Genomic DNA, 24,020 nt, shown 5'->3' on the forward strand with positions numbered 1-24,020 from the left:
GTGAGCCGAGATCACGCCACTGGACTCTAGCCTGGGCAACAGAGCGAGACTCCAGCTCAAAAAAAAAAAAAAAAAGAAAATTATTTTTCTGCTTTCAGACCCCTACATAAAGACATTTACTGGGTTTCTGTCTTCAGAACTCTTTTCTTCTCACCCTGACAATCTCAGTACCTGGGGAGCTATGTGAAGAAAACAACTCACCTGGCCCTTGACCAAACTAACTGAATCAGAATATCCAGGGGTAGGACCTGGGCTCAATGTTTGTTTAAAACTTCGCAGTTGATTGTGCTGCAGCTGGTTTGTCTACTCTCCAAAAGCACTAGTCCACACCACCTCCTCTATGTTCTCATCAGTACTTGTTTTTTAAGACATAAATATTGAATTATTCAAAAATTACACAATACTCAATCAAGCTGTTAAAACCATTACACAAGCAACACATACATTGGGTACATAGCATTAAAAGTGAAAATCTGTGTTCTGCTGACCTCATCCCCATCCTAACTCTATAAGGAACCATTGTTAATAGTTAACTTTCACTTTCCAGCACTGTTCTCTGGTTGCTGCCCCCATCACATCTTTGAACCTGGCAAACACCTTTCCTTCAAGTCCTCACCCAAGTTGACCTCTCCTCCGTGTGTTTATGTAAGCTGTTGTCCGCCTTGCTTCTGGGCCATGTGCATGTCAGTTATCTATTGCCATGTTAACAAGTGACTCCTAAATTTAGTGACTTAAAATAACAACTGTTTTGGCCAGGCGCGGTGGCTCAGGCCTGTAATCCCAGCACTTTATGAGGCCAAGGCGGGCGGATTACCTGAAGTCAGGAGTTCAAAACCAGCCTGGCCAACATGGTGAAACCCTGTCTCTACTAAAAATACAAAAATTAGCCAGGTGTGGTGGCACATACCTGTAATCCTAGCTACTCGGGAGGCTGAGGCAGGAGAATTGCTTGAACCCGGGAGACGGAGGTTGCAGTCAGTGCAGTGGAGATCGTGCCACTGCACTCCAGCCTGGCCGACAGAGCAAGACTGTGTCTCAAAAACAAAACAAAACAAAACAAAAAACACACAAACAAAAACAAAACAACAACAACAAAACAACTGTTTGAGTTAGCACAAGATTCTGTGGATCAGCAATTTGGGCTGGGCTTAGCTGGGCAGTTTTGTGGTCTGGGCCAGGCTCAGCTTTTCTGGGTTGGGCTTGCTCACATATCTGGTGCTCCGGCTGGGAAGGCTAGAGCAGCTGGGCCTTCTCTCCACGTGCCTTCTCATCTTGCAGCAGTCTCACTCAGGTTGGCACACATGGTGGTGGAAGGGATTCCAGTGAGACAGCAGAAGCTGCAGGGTCTCTTGAGGCCTAGGTTTAGAACTTGCACATCACTCTGCTGCCTTGTATTAGTCAAAGTCAGTCAAAATGCCAGCCCACATTTCAGGGGTGGGGAAACAGGCCTTACCTCTTGGAGGCAGGAGCTGAAAATCTATGGCCATTTTTCCAACCTACCAAAATATGATGCCTACATTTTTACAATTTCTGGCTCCTCTTAGGTCCCCACTGTCCACATCTGAGCACATGCCAAAGTGCTCCTCTTTTCCAGTTCACTCTATTCCATTCTATTCTCAGGCTACACCCTGGTCTCAGTTATCAACGCAATGCTTCTAACACAGAAATCTATATCTTCAACTCCAGCCTTTTTGCCAAGACTTAGTCCCACATCTCTAAATGCCTGTAGACGTCTCCATCTAGACATTCAGCCAACAGCTTTAACGCAATAGGTTTAAAATCAGACCTTTCACTGATAACTGTATTCTCTAGTCAGCATCCACAAGCCAAACGGACTCCTCAAAACTTGGACATTGACCTTGACCTCTCCAAATCTCCTTATCTATACCACTGATTGTGATGAAGATAAAAGGAAAAGATCTATGTAAAATGACTGGCACAAAGTGGGTATCATGAAGTCCATTTTTTTCCACAGCTTGGCACCCCATTAACCATTTTGTCTCCACTCAAGCTTCAGTCGTTATCCTCAAAGGCTTCAGTGCCCATATCAGTGACCAAACTAGCACTCTTCACTCCCAATTTCTGGACCTTCCCATTCTAGACCCTTCTCTTCAGTTATTCACAGGATAAATTCCTAGATGATGACAGCTGGAATTGCTTCACTTCTAATCTCATACACATGAATTGCCAGCTCTCTGACCTCAGGCATGTTCCTTATACATTACTCCTGCCATAACACGAAGGTGTCTGCCTTCATGGCCTACCAGCCTTTTCCCGGCCTCTCTTCTCTTCCCAGCTTGTATTACATGGTAGATTATTTCAGTCACTCACTCCAGCACTTTTTATTCCCTCACGTATGCTCAGCACGACTCTAGCCCGGCGTGGATCAATGTTAAAATCTCTATCCCCTTTCTTCTTATAACACTAGAATCCTACAACAAAAATGACTTGCCTGTGCAGGATGTCACCACTTTCATGGTCTTCATCTTCGGCCGGGCCACCAATGCCATCTCTCAGTCTTTCTGCTTCTCCCTGATGAACTTCACTCCCATTGCCCACAACAGCCCTTCCAAACCTTCCGCACTCTCAAGACCCCTCTCTGCTTGACCCTTATCTGCACCCCGTGTGTTATGTAAATGGCCCTGCCTCCTGCTCCTTGGAGAAAAATTGATCACATCAGGCATCATCTTCTGTCACGTCCTGACTCCACTTCATTTCCACTCTACTTCAATCACTCCCTTGTGGGGACTTTGTTGTTCTTCCCAGTTCTTTGCTATTATAAATAATTTTGTGTTGAACATCTTGTATATATGACATTCTCCCCTCATGTTTGATTATTCAATTAAAACAAACTTCTGAAGAAGGATTGTTAGTTTCCAATGTTGGCTACTGTCAGATTGTCCTCCAGGAGGGGTGAATTGATTTCTTTTTCCACAGGCAGTCACTGACTGCATTGTTTTGCAATTATGTTTGTGTGTGTGAGTGTGACCTCTCAGACTCTGAGACAAAGTAGCATCACTGCGCAGAACTTGGATTTTGGGGTCAAAGTGACCTGGCTTTGCAGCCCAGGTCCTTAAATTATTGCTTATATGGCTTTAGACAAGTGACTTAACCTCCATCAGCAAATAGACAATAATAATGGTAGCTACGTCTTAAGGTGGGTCCATTCACTCAATATGCATTTACTGAACACCTTCTAAATGCCAGGCAACATTTTAGGCAGTGGAGACAGAATGAAACAAAGTCTGTGGTCTCGTAGTTCTTACCATCTAGTTGGGGGAGATATGGACAAATATATTTAATGTATCAGTGCTAAGAGGCTTATATAATATGATAAAGTGCAAAGCAGAAAAAGCAGAGTCTGGAGGAGAGAGTCTGACAGCATGGGCATGCTGGGGGTGGTGTGTGTGCTGTGTCATATAGTGTGGTCAGGGAAACTCTGAGGAGGGGGTATTTCATCCAAGAGCTGAAAGAGGCGAGGGAATGAGTCATGTGGTTAATGGGAAGAATGTTCCATGGAAAGGAGCAGCAAGTGACAACGTCCTGAGGTAGGAGTGTGCCTAGTGTGTTTGGGAACAGCATGGAAACCTGTGTGTCCTCTGCCTCTTTGTAAAACTTCCTTATTGCTCTTCTCCCAACTCCCCGCACCCACTCCACCCATCCTCAGGGAACCACTGATCTGATTCGTTTCCTAGAGTTTTGTATAAATGGAATAATCAGTATGAACCTTTTATTGTTTGGCCGTTTTCAGACAGTGTAATTATTGTGATATTCTTCAATACTGTTGCATAAATTAGTAGAGCATTTCCTTTTATTGCTGAGTAGTATTCATGGATATATCACAGTTTGTTTATCCCATCACCTGTTGATGTTCCCACTTTTTGGCTATTACAAATAAAGCTTTTGTGAATATTCATGTACAGGTCTTTGTATGGACGTATACTTTTGTTTCTCTTAGGCAAATACCTAGCAAAGCAGTGGAATGGCTGAATCATATAATAGGTCTACATTTAATCTTTTAAGAAACTGCCCAACTTTTCCAAAGAGGTTGGACCATTTTATATTCTCATGAGCATTGTATGAGAGTTCCAATTCCTCTGCGTTTTTGTGACAGTTGGCACAGCCAGTCTTTTTCATTTAAGCATTCTAACAGTTATGCAGTGGTATGCCATTGTGGTTTCATTTTGCATTGCCTTGATGACTAATGATGTCGAGCATCTTTTCATGTGCTTATTTGCTATCCATATCTCTTCTTTGGAGAAGTTTCTGTTAAAATATTTCCCCATCTTTAAGTTGGATTGTTTTCTTTTTGAGTTTTGAGAGTTCTTTGTATGCTGTGGATGCATCTCCTTTATCAGATATATGACTTGCAATATTTTCTCCAAGTCTGTGGCTTTCTTTTCATTTTCTTATGTATTTTCAAGAGAAGTTTTTGCTTTTGATGAAATCCAGTTTATCAGTTTTTTTATAGATTGTTCTTCTGATGTTGTATCTAAGAAATCATTGCCTACTTTGCGGTGACAAAGGTTTTTCTAGGAATTTTCTAATTTTACATTTTAAATTTAGATCTTTGCTACATTTTGAGTTAACTTTTTGCATATGGTATGAGATTCATTAAAAAAAAAAATGGGTATCTAATTGTTCCAGCAGCATTCATTGAAAAAAACCTTTCTTTTTTCTGCTAAATTGCCTTTGTACCTTTATGGAAAATCAGTTGATTATTGTTTGTAAGTTTATACTCTCTACTCTGTTATCTTGATCTATGTGTCTTTATTGATGCCAATAACAAAAAATACTTATAAGTATTGAAATCTGGCAGTTCAGGACTTTCAGCCTTGTCTTTCTTTTACAAAGTTGTTTTGACTATTCTAGGGCCTTTTCAATTTCACATTAATTTAACAATCAGTTTTTCAAGTTCTAACCCCCATCCCCCCAAAAAACCTGCTGGAATTTTGATTGGGATTTTGTTGACTTTATAGATCAATTTGGGGAGAGTTACATCTTAGTAACATCGGGCCTTCCAATTCATGAACATGGTATCTATATATTTATATCTGTTGAGGGGATAGATCATCTTAATTTCTCTCAGTCATATTTGTAGCTTTCAGTGTATAGGTCTTTAACCTCTTTTGTAAGATGTATCCCTAAATTCTGCATATTTTTCAATGATATTATAAAAGGGTTTATAAAATTCAGTTTCTGATTTTTCATTCCTAGTGTATAGCCTGTATTGGGATTCTTAATTGTGGTAAAATGTGTATGACATAAAATGAGCTATTTCAATGATTTCTGAGTATACAAGTCCGTGGCATCAGTTACATTCACAGTATTGTGCAACCATCACCACTATCTATTTTCAGAGCCTTTTTATTATCCTAAACTGAAACTCTCTACCCATTAAGAAATAATTTCTAATTCATCACCATCCTGGCCCCTGGTAACCTCTAATCTACTTTCTGTCTCTATAAATTGCCTATTTTAGATATTTCGTATAACGAAATCATACAGTATTTTTCCTTTTGTGTCTGGCTTATTTTGCTTAGCATAATGTTTTCAAGATTCATTCATGTTGTAGCATATATTTTTTGGCTGAATAATTCCATTGTTTGCATAAACCACATTTTGTTTATTTTTAAAATTTTTTAAATTTAAATTTTATTGATTTATTTATTTTTGAGATGGAGTCTTGCTCTGTCTCCCAGGCTGGAGGGCAGTGGCGCGACCTCAGCTCACTGCAACCTCTGCCTCTCGGGTTCAAGCAATTCTCCTGCCTCAGCCTCCCCAGTAGCTGGGATTACAGGTACCCACCACAACGCCTGGCTATTTTTTGTATTTTTAGTAGAGACGGGGTTTCTCCATGTTGGCCAGGCTGGTCTTGAACTCCTGACCTCAAGTGATCCGCCCATCTCAGCCTCCCCAGGTGCTGGGATTACAGGCGTGAGCCACTGTGCACAGCCAGCATTTTGTTTATACATTCATCTGTTGATGGACACTTGGATTGTTTCTACCTTTTGGCTATTGTGAAAATGCTCCAGTGAACATTGGTGCGCGCATATCTATTTGAGTCCGTCTTAGATTCTTTTGGGTAGTATAAACCTAGGAGTAGAATTGCTGTTTGGTAATGATAATTCTATCTTTAGCTTTTTGAGAAACCGTGAAACTGTTTTCTACAAAGACTGCACCATTTTACATTTCCACCAGCAATGTACAAGGGTTCCCATTTCTTCACCTTCTCACCAATAACCTGTTAATTTCTGGGTTGTTATTATAATTATTATTATAGCCATCCTAGTATAGTCTAGGAAGTGGTATCTTATCATGGTTTTGATTTGCATTTCCTCAGTGACAAATGATTAGTATTATTTCTTGTGCTTATCTGACCATTTATGTCTTAGAGAAATGTCTAAGTTCTTATCATTTTTAATTAGGTTGTTTGTCTTTTTGTTGTTGAGTTATAGGAGTTCTTTACATATTTTCAATATTAAATTCTTCTCAGATGTATGATTTGCAAATGTTTTTCCCCATTGTTGTCTTCTCACTTTCTTGATAAGGTCCTTTGAAGCACAAGCTTTAATTTTGATGAAGTCCAATTTGTCTTTTTTCTGTTGGTTATGCTTATAGTGTCATATCTAAGAATCCATTGCCAAATCCAGGACCATGAAGATTTACCTGTTTTCTTCAGTGTTTTGTAGTTTTAGAGCTTGTATCTATGTCAGTGATCCATTTTGAGTTAATTTCTGTATATAGTATGAGTTGTGGTCCAATTTCATTCTTTTGCATGAAAGAAAATCCAGTTGTCTCAGCACTATTTGTTTCTACTTTTTCTCTCACTGAATGGACTTGGCACCCTGGTCAAAAATCAACTGGTGAGTCGGGCACAGTGGCTCATGCCTGTAATCCCAGCATTTTGGGAGGCTCGGGTAGGAGGATTGCTTGGAGTCTAGGAGTTTGAGACCAGCCTGGACAACGTAGTGAGACCCTGTCTCCATAAAATTTATTTTTTAATTAGCTGGGCGTTGTGGCACATGCCTATAGTACCAGCTGCTTGGGAGGCTGAGGTGAGAAGATCACCTGAGCCTGGAAGGTTGAGGTTGCAGTGAACCGTGATCACACCACTGCATGCCAGCCTGGGCAACAGACCAAGACCTGTCTCAAGAAACAAAAACAAAACAAAACAAAAAACAAACCCCAAAATTAGCCATAAATGTATGGGTTTATTTCTGGACTCTTGACTCTTGTTTTACACTATATCTGTGACCAAAGGTGGATTCTGGCCCACACTGGTCTCTTCTGCAACATATCTTCTTGTGGCTTTTTTCTGGCCCCGGGTTCCCAAACAAAGCATGCAGTTGCTGGTGATATTCTCTGCACAGTTAGGTTTTTGTTGAGTTGAAGAAGTAGCCAAATTCTTATTGTAAAAGTAGCCTTTCGTACTAAGCTGACTTTACCTTTCGAGGAGAACTTAACAAAATATGTGCTTCTTCCACTTTTAAAGTTTGGGCCCTCAGGTTCTTTTCTTTTTCTTTCTTTCTTTTTTTTTTTTTTTTTTGAGACAGAGTCTCGCTCTTTCTCCCAGGCTGGAGTGCAGTGGTGCGACCTCGGCTCACTGCAACCTCTGCCTCTCAGGTTCAGGTAATTCTCCTGCCTCAGCCTCCTGAGTAGCTGGGATGACAGGTGCCCACCACAATGCCTGGCTAATCTTTGTATTTTTGGTATTGACGAGTTTTCACCAATTTGGTCAGGCTGGTCTCAAACTCCTGACCTCAGGTGATCTGCCCGCCTCAGCCTCCCAAAGTGCTGGGATTACAGGTATGAGCCACCACACCCAGCCTGTCTGAGCACTCTCTAGTTCTGACATTCTGTGAGTATATGACCTATGGCCTCGGTGTGTGTTCTGTGATAGGAAAGGCCAGGGTGGAGGGATGAGAACAGGACAGCTGGGATTGGAGGTCCTGGCCGTGGCAGTGCCAGCTTAGGGGTTGCTGGCCAGAGGAGTCGGGTGGCTACCAGAGGCAGGGGGCTGGAGGCTCTGCTTTGTTTTAGAACTTTTTGAGTGCAGCTACTTCTCTTTTGATGGATTTATAGCAGTACAGTACCAAGACAGCTGGACTGGATGGGGCAAATGAGGGCAGTGTACAGAGGGTCGATGAGGAATGGCGTTAGAGGGCAGTGAGTGGGGGGTGGTCTGTTTCCCATCCAGCTGGTGTAACTGGGGCTCAGGGTGATTTATGGTGGAGAGGGGAGTCGGGTATGGAGGTGGGGCATGGACTTTTCAGATCCCTTGGGACTTGCCCGCGCTGAAGTTTGACATCATCAGGCACTGTGGTTTTCCAGATAGGGTCACTGGATGCAGTCCAACAAATGCAAAAAGACCTTGGGCAGGGACATTGTATCTGTGACCAAAAGTGGAAGGAAGCTCCAGCTATGCCTACAGTCTGGAGAACAGTTGCCAAGTAGGGGCTCATGGGTATCTGTTGATACTTACTGCCTTCACTCTGGAAAATCCTGAGCCTGAGTCTCAGCTGGGAGATTCTGGCCCAGCATGTGCTTGGGGGAGATTCACACCTTTGCTGTCTATCCTAAGCCATGTAGTTTGTCCTGAAGGTGCAGCAGTTAGATCTCTGGGCTCAGGTGTGTGTTCCTCTGCAGCCTTGGGCAGGTGTCCTGGTCTTCTGATCTGAATATGAACAAAGACAACCCTAGATATGTATGTGTGTTGGGGAGTGGGGTTCAGAAGTCAGCAGGCCTTAGGGAACAGCCTGTCCATGCTTTTGTCCTGGGGAGAGGCAGATTTCTGCAGGTGAACAATGCTAGAGAACTGTGCCAGCAGATGGGACCCTAGTGTCAGAATGAGGAGCACAGAGCTGAGGTCCGGGGGAAGCGGTCCCTGGATCTGGGGAGGCTTTGGAGTCAGGGAGGGCTGGCACCAGGATAACAGCAGCCTAGGATTATCTCTTTGCAAGGTCACGTTCCTCTACAAAGATTCAATCCCAGCCTGGCTCTGCCTCCATGCCCCCTTAGACACTGCAGACCAACTAAATACCATGCCAGGAACACCACAGTGTCCCGAAAGGACACTGTCTCCTGACACCAGCCCCTCTTTCCACAGTCTGACATTTTGGGTGTTATTTCGTCCTCTCCATCACCAAGTGTTCAGACAACAGAGGCAATGACGGGTTGGGCTCTGAGAGAAGGCGTCTGTGTGCACATCTGAGTGTGTGCATCAGTAAGAGTGTATCTGGGTGGGGTGTGTGCACAGGGGTGTGCCTGCCACCAAGGGCAGCCATGTAGATGTGTCCCAGTTGTGTGTGCTTCTATGGAAGCAGGTATGTATGGTGGAATTGACTGTGTGAACGGGGTGGGACTGGGGGGATCCTCTCTTTTGCCCTGCATTTGGTGGGGTCAAGAGGTAGGATTGGGAAGTGGAAGGAGGTCAGGTACACTGGCCCTTTCCTGGGCCCAAGATTACACTTAATGGGGGGCCACAGGCCTGCTTTCACAGGCACCTTGCCTGGGCAGTTTCTGGGAGGCTGGTGAGCTCTAAAAGCCCTAAAAGCACTCAAGGATTAAGCAGGAGCCCCTGTGCCTAGAGCTCCGCTTAGGTCGCTGAGCCAAAGAGACCCTGTGTGACCCTGGGCAGTGAGCTGTGGTGGGGTAGAGGACCCTTCCCTCCCTGCCAGGCCCAACCCATGGGAGTTGAGAGCGGGGACCTCGGTCTGCCGTGAGGTGAGGGGCTGTGGGGCAATCCGGGGCCGCATCAATGTTGGATGAGCCTGCACCTCCTCGATACCATCTTCCTTGGTCTCACTTTTAGTGTAACTGGAGAGCCCAGGGACCAGTCCGAGCTGGCCATGCGCGATCTGCTGGCAGTGGCCGCACCTGCGAGGGGACAGGAGCTGGGGTAGGGAGGCTGGCGCAGGCCCACGGCGTGTCCTGGAACAGCTTGGGGGCCACAGGGCCAGTCTCGCAGGGCAGGGGTCGATTCCAGTCTGGCCTCTGCTCGGGCCCTGGGTCCCGGTGCAGGGTTACTCCCCCGCCCCCCTCGGGCCACTTCGCCTTCCGCGGGGTGTCATCTGTCTGGCGGCGTGTCCTTGGGCCAGTTCGGTCCCATCCCCCTGCCTAGCTCTGGGAGTTTCCTGCTCGGGAAGGGGCTGGAGGGGCAGCAGCTGGACAGAGAGAGACCCCCTGGGGTAAGGAAGGGGAGCAGCCGCGACTGCACAGAGCCTCCCACTGCAGGTGAGTGTCCCGCCTGGGGAAAGGCCGGGAGCGCCTGGGGAAAGGCCTGGGGAAAGGCCGGGAGCGCAGGAGTGAGATTGGGGGTCCACAGTGGCCAAGCTTCTCCCCACCCTGGACTTTCCTACTCCAGTCCTGACCCTTTATAGCCTTGTGACACCACAAGTGCCGCCCCCACCCCCAACTACCACCAAGTATCGCCCTACAAGGCAGCAGTGAAGTAGGCTCGTAGCCGGTGAACACCTGGTACTTGTTGGCAGATGTTGGGATGAAGTTATTACTGCACTGTGGCCTCCATGATCAGCATGGACGGACACTCCTGTGGGCAGCAAGTTTGGATTGGATCAGTGAGCCATGGCGAGTGGGCAGCAGCCTGTTTTAAAAAACTGTTTATTGGAAAACAGACACATCTATCGGCTTAAATGTTGTCTATGGCTGCTTTCACACTACAACCTCAGATCTGGCCCTTCAAGAAAAAATTTTGCCGATGCCTGAGATATTCTCCCAGGGCATACTTCCCTTTAACCTACACGTGTTCATTCTCTTCCTCTCCCTCACACCTGGGCACCTATCCTCCCTCCTCCCTTTGCACCTCCCGCACATCTGGCTCACGCCAGGCTCTCCACACCTGGGAACATTTCTTTGGGGACCATTCACCTCACATCTGGTCACTATTCCTTCCTCTGGCAAGAGAGGAAATGACTGGGGCAACAATTTCAGAATCTAACAGGACAGCCGAGGGCTGAGGGAGGACCTTTGCCTGACCCCAAGTTGTCAGTGAGCCCCTCCCTAGGCTACAGGAGCAAGGCGAGTTAACTGCCGATGAGCACAGCTGCTCTGGGCCCCCAAATCTGTTTTGTCACCCGAGAGACTAAGCAGGCCAGTTCTGGGCATGGGCTTTCTGTCACTCCCTCTGTTGGCTGGTGACAGTGCTGAGGTCCCGATAGAGTGGTAGGGAGACCCTGCCGAACAGATAATTAGAGGGTGCCAATATGATCTGGGGGGGAACCTGGGAGACAGGGAGCTCCAGAGGCACCGCCCCTCGCCTGCCCGCTTCCCTGTCGCTTCCACACCCTGGGGCCCATCGTGCCCCACTTCCTCCAAGCCCCAAGCCTTTGCAAACAGAACAAAAGCCGTTTCCTTGGTTCCCTTTTGTACGTCTGAGTTCAGGGGTCCGTTTCAGGGCCTGGACTCCGGGAGACTCCGGGAAACTCCGGCGCCCGAAGACAGAGCTGCATTCCTGCTGTGCCGCCACAAGATGGCACTCTCTAGGTGTCCGCCCCAGTTTGAGCACTCCGGGAGTTTCTGACACTTGCTGGCCTTTCGCCCAGTTTCAGCCTGAAGATTGTGGTCAGACACACTCTGAATCCCACCAGGCTTGATTAGCTTTGCCTGCCCCCTGAGGCAGCTCATGGACTTCTTCAGACTCTGTAGTTCAGGACATATTGACCCCTTCTGAAGGGGCCCTCAGGAACTGCCTGCAGTGTAATTACCTGCCTGCTTATACTCCTCCCCACCAGGCACTCCTGAGAGCGGGACCGTCTTATTCTCCTCGGGGCCACCTGCCCCAACCCAGGGCCTGGCACGGCAGAGATGGCAGAGGTGTTTGGTGGGGTGTAATGTGTAAACAGCAGAGTGCTGCTGTCGTCATTCATCCCACCATAGTTTGTCTGGTGAATGCATTTTTAGTGTCAAGCTGCCTGAAGGAGAAGCCAGGGATAAAGACCCAAGCTCAGAATGTATCCTGGGGAGAGGGATTGGTTCACAGAGAGAAGCTGTCTTGCAGCCTTTCCCCCTCTGGCCTGGTTCTGGCTGTTGCCAGCATTCTAGGAGTTCTCTAGACGGGCTGAAACGCACCGCAGGGATACAGGGAGGGCCGGAGAATAGGCGTTTGTTTCCAGGTAGAATTTTGGGGCATACCCGGCCTTGTCTGGGAGCAATCAGGGACCAGAGGCAAGGGCTGCGATGGGCTCTGGGGCCTACTGTGGCCTCATCCCTCTCACCTGGCCCCAGCTCAGGCCATTCCAAGAGCCTCCCAGCCTAACAGCAACGTGTGGCTATCCAAGGGTCCCAGACAGAGGATTGGAGGGCTGCACCTGTGTTTAGGGGACAGCCACCCCTCCCCCTAAGCACCTGCTCTGACAGCATGGGATGATGTCAACAAGGGACTTCCATGAAGCCCAAGGGGGAAGGACAGTGGGAGTGGGGTCTGAGGTCTGGACTCTGCTTGAAGATTGACAATGATGGGTGGGAGTCCCTCACCCACTGTAAGCTCTAGGAAGAGGGTGAGCATTCCTGTTGATACTGTGGCCCATTGTGTTGGCAGAGTCCAGGCCAGTTTGTGCTCTTGGTGTGACCCCAGGAGGGAGTCCTTTGCTGGATCATCTACCTCATGGGCTGGTACTGACATGCAGGTGCGATTTCCCTGCCTAAAACAGGCTCCAGAGTAAGACTGGCATCGCTCACCAGGGTAATTATTGGTTTGGGTTCAATTTCCATTCAAAACAGTAATCCCAGCCTGAGCTGGGTGTCAGATCTGAAGGTTGATTATTAGTAACATTTATCAACAGCCTCTCTCAGCTTCAGGCAATTACAGCTCATCTGCCATTCCTGCTCCCAGTCATGCAAACTTGCCAGCTTCTTCCCTGCCCACCCCCTCCATTCCCCTCTCCCCTTCTTCTCCCATCTCCTCCCCTTAGCAGACAACCTGACGGAGGGCAGGAGGTGGGTGCCACCTTATGACTCACTATCACCCTGTATGGAGGGGGTCCATGTGCATGCTAGGCACCTGTGCTCCCCAGCAGCAATATTCATGTTGCAGTCTTGTGAAATCTGAATCTGATTCTATCAGAACTGAGGAGAATCTGTGAAGGGGACAGATGGGAACCCATGTCTCCCGGCTCCTTGTCGCATGATGCGTTTTCAATGGCACTGTGCTCCTTCCTGCTCCTGACTCAGTCTGTCCCTCCCCTCCAGGGCTGAGACTAGGGTGAGGCTAGAAAGACATTGACCTCAAGTGCAACATTCAAAGGACCTCGAACAAGCTCAGTAATTAAGATAAATGATATTTCAATATAGTATTTTTTTAAATCAAAATGAATGCAAAGCACATACAACAAAATCAAACCTTTAATAAAGACAAGATACAACACTGGATTTGCGGGCCTTGTATTGGCCTCACTTGCCTTACCCTAACTCCAGTCTTGTTTATCATGGACAGTTTTGCTTTGATTTGCTGGAAGTATTAAATTTCTTGGCTGCTGAGTTTTTTGGCAAATCTTTAAATTCTGCGCCTCAGGCGAGAGCTTTATTCAGCTTACCCTGGTGCTGGCCCCACTGCTCTCACTTCCCGCTGGGCCCTAACCTCCTGCTCCCTTCAGCTCTTACTGCCTACTGCCTCAGGCAGGGTGGCTCAGCTTCTCTCTTCGCAGGTGCCCAGGGCAGCAGGGGACCCAAAGGGCCCCTCCATGGGCTGTCTTCCAGGGTGCCCATCCTTCATTCCATCCCACTGGACCCTGCTTCAGCCGTCAGACACCTCAGGGAGGGCCTGCAGGTTGCCAGAGTAACTGCTGTGATAACTGGAGGACAGAACATGCTGGTCTTGCTCTGCTCGTAGAATCACATCCAGCCAGGGCTGGATGAGTGCAAGCAGGCACGCCTGACAGCGTCCCTGACACGCTGATCCAAAACGTCACTGGACATGCATGGAGGTGGAGAACATTCCATGTACCCACATTCCTCTAGGGGGAGGACAGCATGAGGCTGGAGGAAAACTGTGGTGATCTGTTTGTGACAGGGAGGTGAGACGCTGAAGTAGACATGGATGCTTCCTAACCAGCCTTCCGCAGAGGGTAGGTCTCATTCGCTGAAGGGCTTCTGTTCTGCTGAGCAGGGTCTGTCAGTAGGGGGGCACACCTGTCTCCAGAGAATACCCTCCTCCTGTCCTCCCCTGGCTGTGCTCCACTAGCCTAAAAGGTAAACAGACATTTTAGAAAGATCAGTGTTGAAGGGGTACCCAAGATGCCAAATTATATCTGGGACTTGAGACACTGTTATGTCGAGGTCCAGGCCTAGGCCAGCTGGTCACAGTGTCCAGATGCCTGTCACGGTGGGAGGCCTGAGGGTCTCAGGGGACATGTATCAGAAGCACCTCTGCCCTGCCTGTTCCACTCTGTAATCTCCCTTCTGAGCCCCTACTGCAGCACAGAGCCAGCTGGTCATCTAGCCTGGCAGTAGTAAGTCATTCTATTTTCCTGCAGATAGGAATACATGGTTCCTGTTCCTCCTATGCACTCTGCCACTTAAATTCCCCTCTCTGAGTCCTAGGTTCCCCTTTTGTGAAATATCAATGATAGCATCCTTCTTAGAAGGCTGTGCTCACCATTCAGTGCACTAATGCAAAGCACTGTGACCGACTGAAGAGTCATGTTCTGTGGGGCCATGGAGGACAGAACTAGGACTGAAGGGAGGTGTGTTTGAGCTTTAGGTGAAGCAGCAATGGCCAACTACAAAGATGGAGGGACCGCTCTGGGAAGAGCAAACACCCTGATGCTCAGAGTGTGCATGAGGAGGTTTCATAATCACCATCCAGCAGCTTAGCCTCAAAAGGGCTGCCTGCCCCAGGGAGCTATGACCCTTGAGAGATGCAGTTTATCCAGCCCTGAGGTTCTGTTTGACCATCTTTCCCCGGTTGTCCTCCAGGGGGTCATGGCACAAGTCTCAGTAGCACGGGCCCCATGGTCCAGCCTTAAGGTAAGAATGGACCTCCCTGGAGGAAGCTGGCTTCATCTACAGTTGATAAGTTCACCTTTTTTCCTGGTCCACTTTCCTTGGTTTAACCCTGTGACCAAACCTGAGAGCTTTGGCAGGAAGGAAACCAGGGAGGATGTTGTGCTTGAGAAAGTGCTGGCCTGAGCATTGGCTTTGAGATGTCCTTTTACTCTGACTGGAGGGTCTCATTCCACCTGTAGCAAGACTAAAGACACCTGAAAGAGAGTTTCTGGGAGATGGAGGATGAGGTCTCCAGTTGCAGGTGCATGCACACGTCCACTTCCCCACCTGGCAGGTGCCGGCATGCAGGATGTCTGTGCGTGTGCCCCTTGCACTGACTCCCTTGAGGCTGGCTGTGCAGCTTTGGGGCATGTGTCCAAGCAGAGAGAATGGAAGACTCCATATTGGGAGCCTTGGCTTTGACCTTTCCTTTCTCTGAGCCTGATTTTCCCAACAGTGTTATGGGAGGGGAAGGATGAGATGCGCTTCTCAGCTGATGTCCGTGATTCTTCTGTTTTCTGGAGGCCATGAGTGTTAACAGAATGTGTTCACTTTTGCACCCTTCTTCCATGACCACTTACAGTCTGTCTGCTTAGCAGATGAGGGGTCTGGGTCTCCAGCGTCCATTTGGGGTGGGGTCAGCAATGTCCAGCTTTGCATCTGGGTATCACTTTTCCTTCTGATACTTGAAATTGGATTCTGAAGATTCCTAATTATTGTTCCAAGTTCTCATTGAAAATCTGGGTGTAATTTTTACAAGAGCATGGCTGAGGATGGACATGGAGGGGAAGTAGTGGGGCTGGAGGGAGGGAAGGGACAGACAGAAGGTGATGTTGTCATTAGGAGTTAAAGCCAGGGCCTGGTAGTAGATAAGGCTGGACAGTTGGCAGGATCATCGGGCGGACTAAAGTAGCTTAGATTCTGTCCAGAGGAAGTGGGGGTCTTCTGAAGGGTTTAAGTAGGCTGGGAGGACATGATCTTAGGAAGCTCACTCTGGTGTCAGTTGCAGGATGGATTTGAGAGGAGCAAGTTAGGTGTAGATGCCCATGATGATGCCAAGATCTGGGCAACAGACAGGAAGGCCCTAGCTCAGAAGTGGCTCTAGGGAAGGTGAGGTGCATAGAATTGAGAGATGCTCAGTAGATGGCATGAGCAGTGCTTGATGATTGTCTGGGTTGGTGGAGGAAGGTGGACAGGGAAAAGCAGAAAGCTACGATGGTGCCTCAAGGGGCTGAGTGATGTCACTCACAGAGACAGAATGTATAGAGTGAATGTTCAGACTCACAGGAAGTCCAAAACTACATACCCCAACGTGAGGTGCTGTGGGACATCCGGGGTGCAGGGTCCAGAGAGCAGGTAGGTAGAGTTTAGAAGAGGGCTGGGTCCACAATGCAGCCTTGGATGTTCTCAATGTAAGAGTTGTGGGAGATGAAGCCTTGTGAGTGGATGGGAACACCCAGGTGCATTTCAGGTGAAGCAAGGGGACAAGAGGCTGAGGACACAGACAAGCAAATCCTAGATCTTCCATCAGTCCCTAGAAGGCACGATGTGTGCCCCTCCCAGCACACAGCCTGAGCCCTAGCACAGAGCTGGCCGCAGAGAGGGCAGCAGTGAATGTGTCCTCGGTGGTTCCTCCAGATGGGGCCTTTGTCCGCAGTGCACTTGTCTCTGCCTGGGTTGCTATAGTAACCCACAGATGCAGAGAGACTTGGCCTCCGTGTTGCCATGGAAACCAGCAATTGGGTGTCCCTGTGTGGCATGGCCACTGAGACCTTGAGGATTCAGTCTGGTCCTGAAGGGTTTGGGGGGAGACTGCGACCAGAAGATGTTTCCATGTCCTAATTAATGGGTGATGGTGGTTGTTAGTCTGACTGTTGCCACGGTGATGAAGGGAGACATCCAAGTGCTGGTTTCAGTACTGAGGCGAATACAGGGAATTTCAACAGGCTCCAGGTCTTACTATGCAGCCTGAAGTGGGACCATCCCTTAAACCCACTCCATCCTGTGGCCACGATGGGGGCCAGGACACCTTTGCCTTCTTTCTGGGTTTCTTTCTTTGCCGAGACAGGGATTTTGTTCCCAGGAGGCACTCCCTGGCCCATGGGATCTCAGCATTCAAAGCAGCACAGGAAACCTGGGCCCCTGAAACGGGGCCACCGAAGAGATCGGTAAGCTTTCAACATCCTGCCTTTAGCCCATGGGCCCAACCATTGCGTCAGCTCCACCCACCCACCCTCACTGACCTCAACCCTTTACAGTCCCAAGGCCTCCCCTTCCTGATGGTGCTGCTCCCCTATCACCACGTGGAGCCCCACAGGTATATCCCCGCAAACCCCTCTTGCTCCAGACAGGTGATCAGGGAGGCTTCATTACTCCAGGAGCTGCCCAGGACCTCAGGGAGGTCCCCCACCATGGGAGTAAGGGCCTCTCCCCCAGCCTCCAGGGCTCCGGCAGCTCCACACTCCGGCCCTCTGCCTCTTCTGGAGGGCTCCTCCTTCCAGCTTCTGCCTGTCTCCCCACCCCCCAGTGCTTCATTCCCATGGCTCAGGTCATCACTGCCCTCATCTGGACTGCCTGCCTGCCTGCCTGCCATCCGGGGCCCACAGAGTGAGCACTCTATGGAAGTCCCTCTACCCTGATCCATCACGTAACTCACCTACTGAGGCAGCTGAGACCAGGGCACTGAAGGAGGCCTTGAGTGACCAGGTGTGGCCAGGCAGCAGGCAGGGATGATGAGGTGAGGCTGCAAGGATGTGGAGAGTCACCCCTTCTTTTCCTCCTCAGGAGAACAACCAGGAGGAAGTACTGGAAGGAAGGAAGGGAGATCGCTCGGTGAGCTGGAGGGGAGGAGGGCGTGCCGGCCCTGGGAAAGGGCCAACCACAGGAGACTGTGAGGGAGGTGGGCGGAAGACGTGGGTGGCTCAGGGGCCATGAACCCCATATGCGCCTGGGAGTGTGTGTGTGAAATGGGGTTTAGGGGAGGGTGTGACCACTGGACAAAGCCTGCTCTTATTGTGTGTGACTATTGTGGCCTTGGGTTTGTCCCTCTTGGATCCTCCTGTGGTCTTTTTGCCTTGACTCTAACCGGGTGATGCTGATGAGCAGGTCCAGAGGCCTGGGCTCTGTTCACTAGCCTGTGCTGGGACTCTCAGCCAAGCCTTCTCAGAAAGGAGGTGTCCTCTACATGTGGTCACACCATAGCCTAGGACCACAGAGGGAATCATGGTGGCAGAGCCTCCAGCCCCCCTGCCCTCCCATTGCCCAAACACCCAGATGTGGAGATGCCCTGCCCCGGGGTGCCGTCCCAAGCCTGCTTTCTAACATCAGGAGGTGGGTCTTGCCTAAGGCTCCTAACCAGGACCTCATTTGTTGTTTACACATGTTGGGGTCCCAAGGATATGTTTCTTGGCCCACAGAATGGTCATAAACAACTGCCCTGTGAAGGAGGGGGTGCTGTCTTGTGTACAGATGAGGCAAAATGACAGGATCCTGTCCCCAGCTGCAGAGTGTCTGCTGGGCGTCCCCAACACCTGGGAAGTCTGTCTGTCCTTCCAAGGGACCAGGCCAGAGAAATGGGGGGCACCTGGGGCTCTGCTTTGCCTCCTCATGGATGTCAGTCCCGGGTTTCTGATGGGGTTTGTGATGATGGCGCCCTAAAGGGAAGCTCTGTGGAGAGCCAGGGGTCTCGAGTATGGCCTTCATGGCAGGGACCCCATTGCTCTCCTTTTTTACACATGGCCTCAAACCAGGTTGACTTTTTAGCCTAAAGAAAATCTCATGAAGAGAAAGACAGTGGTGTGGGGGAGGGTGTATCACTTGAGCCTACTTCACAGGCTCTTGGGAAGGAGCAGTAGGAGGAGGAGGGGTGCAAGTAGTGAACCCCAGAGGGATGACTCTGCTGTGATGACTGTTAATGAGGCTTGAGACTTCAGCTCATTTGTCATGTGCAGCTGGTGTATTTTGAGTGATATAAGTTGATGACAGCCTCCTTCCTGAACCCACTGTCAAGGCTGCAAGAAATTTTTGAGATCCCACATCCAACCCCTTGTGTAACAGGCAAAACAGGCCTCAGGTTCTGAACCAAGGTCACACTGCAAGTTTGTGGTAGACTCAGAATTAGAACGCAGGCCACCTGCTCAGGGTTCTTTCTCTGTACTGCAGGAGAGGGAACCAGCATCACTGTGTGGGAGTCAAGGGGCTTCTCAGGAGTGAGTAGTCCTTTGGCCATGACCTTGCCTTATGTGAATGGAAGTTCTGAGCATAGTGTGAACTGTATGTCTACAGCTGATGGCTGCCTGGCAGGGACTCTTGGCCATACTGGGTTTCTGGGCTGGCTCATTTCTGGTGTTTGGTATCTCTCTACTTCACGTTGAATGGCTCTTCCCTGTTGAAAGGCTCTGCCAGTATCCCTTAATATCAGGTAAAACTGCACAATTCAAGATGGTGCCAGCAAGCATGATGTTTCCCCCATGGTGACACAGGGCTGTAAGTAGGGAGATGAGGAGCCAGGCATCTTTGGAATTGAGGGCTGACTTATAGGGCTGACTTATCTCCGTAGGTTTGGAATAGTCATAATTAATGGCAAAGTTAATGGTCCAGCCACTTAGGGATATAGCAAAGCAAGAGAATCTTGGCTTGTTGTCTTCAACTTGTTGAAGAATATCATCTCCATTTCATCCACCCATTACTTGGCATCTTGGGATCATTTGAAACTGTTCCACCTGTGAAACCTTAATCTTTGTGTACCTCGTATGCATTCTGCCTCCCATATCTCCACCATGTCTGTTCATAGAGACCTCAGGCCCCTGAGCCCTAGTTTTTCTCCTCACTCTGAATCAACTCTTGTTCCTATTCTATCTGAGCTCTGTTGCTTGTCACTTCAACTGCCCACCATTCACCACCTGGCCTCTTAGTCTCCTACCTCAACCTTAGAGCAGGGTCACTGCCTGCTTTCTCTAGTCCTGGTTTAAAGGTGTGGGGGGAATTCCTTCGTGAATTGACATTGGTCCAAATTCATGGCCCGCAGCCTCCAGCGAGCCCCCAGCAATGCCCAGCAGTCCTGTGACCTGGGCCTGCTCCAATTCCTCCACAACTATTTCAAAGCTCTCACATTACCCACTTATTGGGATATAATTCATATACCATACAAGTTGCCTGTTTATAGTGTACAGTTCAATGGTTTTAAGTTGTATGACCATCACTACAATTTATTTTAGAACATTTTCATTACTCCCCCCAATGAAAACCCATACCCATTTGCAGTCTCCCCCTTTTCCTACACCCCCCAGCCTTAGGCAGCCACTAATCTATTTTCTATCTTTATAGATTTGCCTATTCTGGACATTTCATGTAAATGGAATCACATAATATGTGGTCTTTTGTAACTGGCTTCTTTCCTTAGTATAATATTTTCTAGGTTCATCTGTGTCATAGCATTTATCAATACTTCATTTCTTTTTATTGCTGAATAATATTCAATTGTATGGATATACCACATTTTCTTTATCTATTCATCAATTGATGAACATTTGGGTGTTTCCACATTTTAGCTATTATAAATAATGCTGATATAAACTCTTGTGTCCAGGTTTTTATAGGGACATATGTTTTCACTCCTTGGGTATATGCCTAGGATCTATGTTCAACCTTTTGAGGAACTGTCAGAGTGTTTTCCCAAGTGGTTGCTGCATTTTACATCCCCACCAGTAGTATATGAGGGTCTCAGTTTTTTCATATTCTTGCCAATACATGTTATTATCTGCAATTTTAAGTATAGTCATCCTAGTAAGTGTGAAGTAGTATCTCATTGTGGTTTGGCTTACATTTCCCTGATCACTAATGATGACTAACAATGTGCTTATGGACCATTTGTATATCTTCCTTGGAAAAATGTCTATTCATATCTCTTATCCATTTTTTAAATTGGGTTGCCTTTTTATTATTGAGTTGAAGCATTCTTTATATATTCTAGGTAAAAACAAGACCCTTATCAGATATATGGTTTGCAGATATTTTATTCTATTCTGTGGTTGTCTTCACTTTCTTGATGGTGTCTTTTGCAACACCAATATTTTACATTTTTATGAAGTCTAATTTATCTAGTTTCCTTTTGTTGCTTGTGCTTTTGGTGTCACATGTAAGAAACTGTAGGATTTTTTACAAAGATTTTTGCCTATGTTTTCTTCTAAGAGCTTTATAGTTTTGGCTCTTTCATTTAGGTCTTTGAATCATTTTGAGTTAATTTTGTTATTGGTGTGAGGTAGGGGTCCCAACTCATTCATTTGAATATGGATATTCAGTTGTCCCAGCACCATTTGGTGAAAAAACCATTTTACCTCCATTGAATGGTCTCGCTATCCTGTTGTAAATCAGTTGACTGTAAATGTAAGTTTATTTCTGGGCTCTCAATTCCACTGCTTTGACCTATATGTCTATCTTTATACCAGTACCACATTACCTTGATTACTGGAGCTTTGTGGTAAGTTTTGAGATCAGGATGAGTTCTCCACCTTTGTTCTTTTTCAAGGTTGTTTGGCTATTCTGTATCCCTTAATTTTTTCTTACAAATTTTAGAATCTGCTTGTCAATTTCCACAAAGAAGCCAGCCAGTATTCTAATGGAGATTGGACCGAATCTGTAGATCAGTTTGGAGAGTATTGCCATCTTAATAGTATATAGTCTTTTGATCCATAAATACAGGATGTCTTCTTGTTTATTATTTAGGTCTTCTTTAATTTCTTTCAAAGAAGTTTATAGTTTTCAATGTATAATATTGCACTTATTTTTAGCAGTTTATTCCTCAGTGTTTTATTCTTCTTGATGCTTTTGTAAATTGAATTGCTTTCTTAATGCAAGTGTATAGAACTATGTATAACTGATTTTGTGTAATGATCTTGTATCCTGCAAACTTGCTGAACTTGTTTATTAGTTACAATCATTTTTTAGTGGATAACTTAGATTTTTATTACACAAGATTATGTCTTGTATGAGTAGAGATAGTTTTATTTGTTCCTTTCTAATCTGGATGCCTTTTGTTTCATTTTCTTGCCTAATCATCTTGGCTAAAACCTCCAGTACAATGTTGAATACATTTGTCTAGAATGAGCATCTGCCCCACCCCACCCCCCTTCTTCTGGCTGCTCTTAAGATTTTTCTCTTTATCGTTGGCTTTCAACAATTGATTATGTGATGTCTTGGTATAGTTTTCTTCACGTTTCTTCCACTGAATGTCTTTTGAGTTTCTTGGATATATGGGTATATGGTGTTCATTAAATTTGAAGAAACATTGGGCATTATTTCTTCTAATATTTTTTCTGACTTTTCCCCTGAAACTCCAACTATGTGTATGTTAGCTTGCTTAATATTGTTCCAGAGTTTTTCATTTTTCAGTATTTTTCTGTGTTTTATTTTGAAATATTTCTACCTATGCCTTTGAATTTACGAATCTTTGCTTTGCAGTGTCTAATTCCATGAAGTATATATTTTATTTTAGATACTATGTTTTTCATCTCTTGAAGCTTGACTTGCATCTTAATTATGTATTTCATTTCTCTCCTCATCATAGTCATATTTTTCTCTATCTTTTTTACGTGGAGTGAGTTTATCATAGCTCTTTTAACATTTATGTCTGCTAATTCTGTCATCTGTGTCTTCCTACTTGTACTGTTTTTACCCACAACACTTCTAACACTAAATGTGTGGTTTCTTTCCACACCAACAACCAATTTGGCAACTCTCTAGATGCCAACTGAGGGTCCTGCAATTTAATTTGATTCTGGTACTAATTATTATAACTGAAGTTAATGCAGACCCCACAGTTTAAGGGCTCAGTCCCGCAAGACTTCCCCCATTTCATAAGTCCCAGGTTGTCACCTATACTTCTGGCCAACCAGCTATAAATTGGGGGTTCCTAGGACCCCTGCTCAGGTATGAACATTTGCTAGAATGGCTAACAGAACTCAGGAAAGCACTTTATTTACTCTTTACTGATTTATTATAAAGGATACAACTCAGGAACAGCCAAATGGAAGAGACACCTAGGGCAAGGTATGCAATGGCGTGGAGCTTCCATGACTTCTCCAGGTGTGCCACCTCCCCAGCACCCCGATATGTTTACCTGCCAGGAACTCTCCAAACTCTGTCATTTAGGGTTTTATGGAGGTCCTGTTACATAGGTACAACTGATTAAATCATTGACCATTGGTGAGTGAACTCAATCTCTAGCCCTTCTCCTTTCCCCAGTGGCTTAGGGGTGAGCTGCAAGTTCTAATCCTCTAATCACATGGTTGGTTCCTTTGGCAGCCAGCCTCCATCATTAAGCTATCTAGGAGCCCACCAAGAGTCACCTCATTAGAATAAACTCAGGTATGGTTGAAAGTGGCTTATTGAGAATAAAAAAGATGTTCCTATCATGCAAGAATTTCCAAGGGTTTTAGAAGCTCTGTGTCAAGAACTGGGGACAAAGACCAAATATATATTTCTTCTTGTGTGCACTGGTGATTGATTTTTCTCCTAGTTATGCATCTTCTCCTCCTCCTTTTTTGAATGCCTGGGTAATTTTTGATTAGATGATAAATGTTTTGGATTTTACAATGTTGGGCTTTGTTTTATCCTTTAATAGTTAATGGTGGGCTTTGTTCTGACAAACAATTAAGTTACAGGTTGAGTATCCGGAATATCCGAAACCTGAAACGCTCCAAAATCTGAAACTTTTTGAGAGCCAAATGACACTCAAAGGAAGGGCTCATTGGAGCATTTCAGATTAGGGATGCTGAACCAGTAAGTATAATACAAATATTCCAAAACTTGAAAAAATCCAAAATCTGAAACACTTCTGGTCTCAGGCATTTTGGATAAGGGATATTCATCCTATACTTGGAATCAGTTGGATCCTTCTGGGGTTTTCTTTTAGGCTTTGTTAGGGCAGGTCCAGAGCAGCCCTTGGCCGAGGGCTAAGTTGGCCTCACTACTAAAGAGTGCTCTTCTGAGGACCCTCCCTGATCTGATGTTCTGTGTAT

General features: G+C 46.8%; 1 protein-coding gene and 1 long non-coding RNA gene across 6 annotated transcripts in view, besides 1 other annotated feature; one reads left to right on the top strand and one right to left on the bottom strand.

The window, feature by feature from the left end:
* TUB (TUB bipartite transcription factor) overlaps nucleotides 1-24,020 on the top strand; it is an 86,999-nt gene that overhangs the window by 2,613 nt on the left and 60,366 nt on the right. The window contains exons 1-2 of one of the 5 annotated variants that reach the window (NM_003320.5): nucleotides 16,776-17,171; nucleotides 17,788-17,835. The exons of the other annotated variants lie outside the window; for them this stretch is intronic. Coding sequence (NP_003311.2) covers nucleotides 17,017-17,171; nucleotides 17,788-17,835 — 203 coding nt within the window. The 5' untranslated portion in view covers nucleotides 16,776-17,016. Of the gene's footprint in view, nucleotides 1-16,775; nucleotides 17,172-17,787; nucleotides 17,836-24,020 lie in introns of those variants that run through there. 5 annotated transcript variants of the gene reach the window in all.
* On the bottom strand, nucleotides 13,345-16,378 carry LOC124902627 (uncharacterized). The gene is made up of 2 exons (XR_007062581.1): nucleotides 16,310-16,378; nucleotides 13,345-14,201 (listed from the first exon to the last, which is right to left on the bottom strand). It is a non-coding gene; the product is annotated as an uncharacterized LOC124902627 (long non-coding RNA).
* Nucleotides 13,818-14,382: an enhancer, noted in NCBI's record as "H3K27ac-H3K4me1 hESC enhancer chr11:8057222-8057786 (GRCh37/hg19 assembly coordinates)". NCBI's record gives its function as "activates a minimal SCP1, AML or CMV promoter by ChIP-STARR-seq in naive and primed H9 embryonic stem cells {active_cell/tissue: H9 hESC(naive and primed)}" and the evidence as "EXISTENCE:reporter gene assay evidence [ECO:0000049][PMID:30033119]".

This window comes from Homo sapiens, chromosome 11, assembly GCF_000001405.40.
Source record: "Homo sapiens chromosome 11, GRCh38.p14 Primary Assembly".
Lineage (NCBI taxonomy): Eukaryota > Metazoa > Chordata > Mammalia > Primates > Hominidae > Homo > Homo sapiens.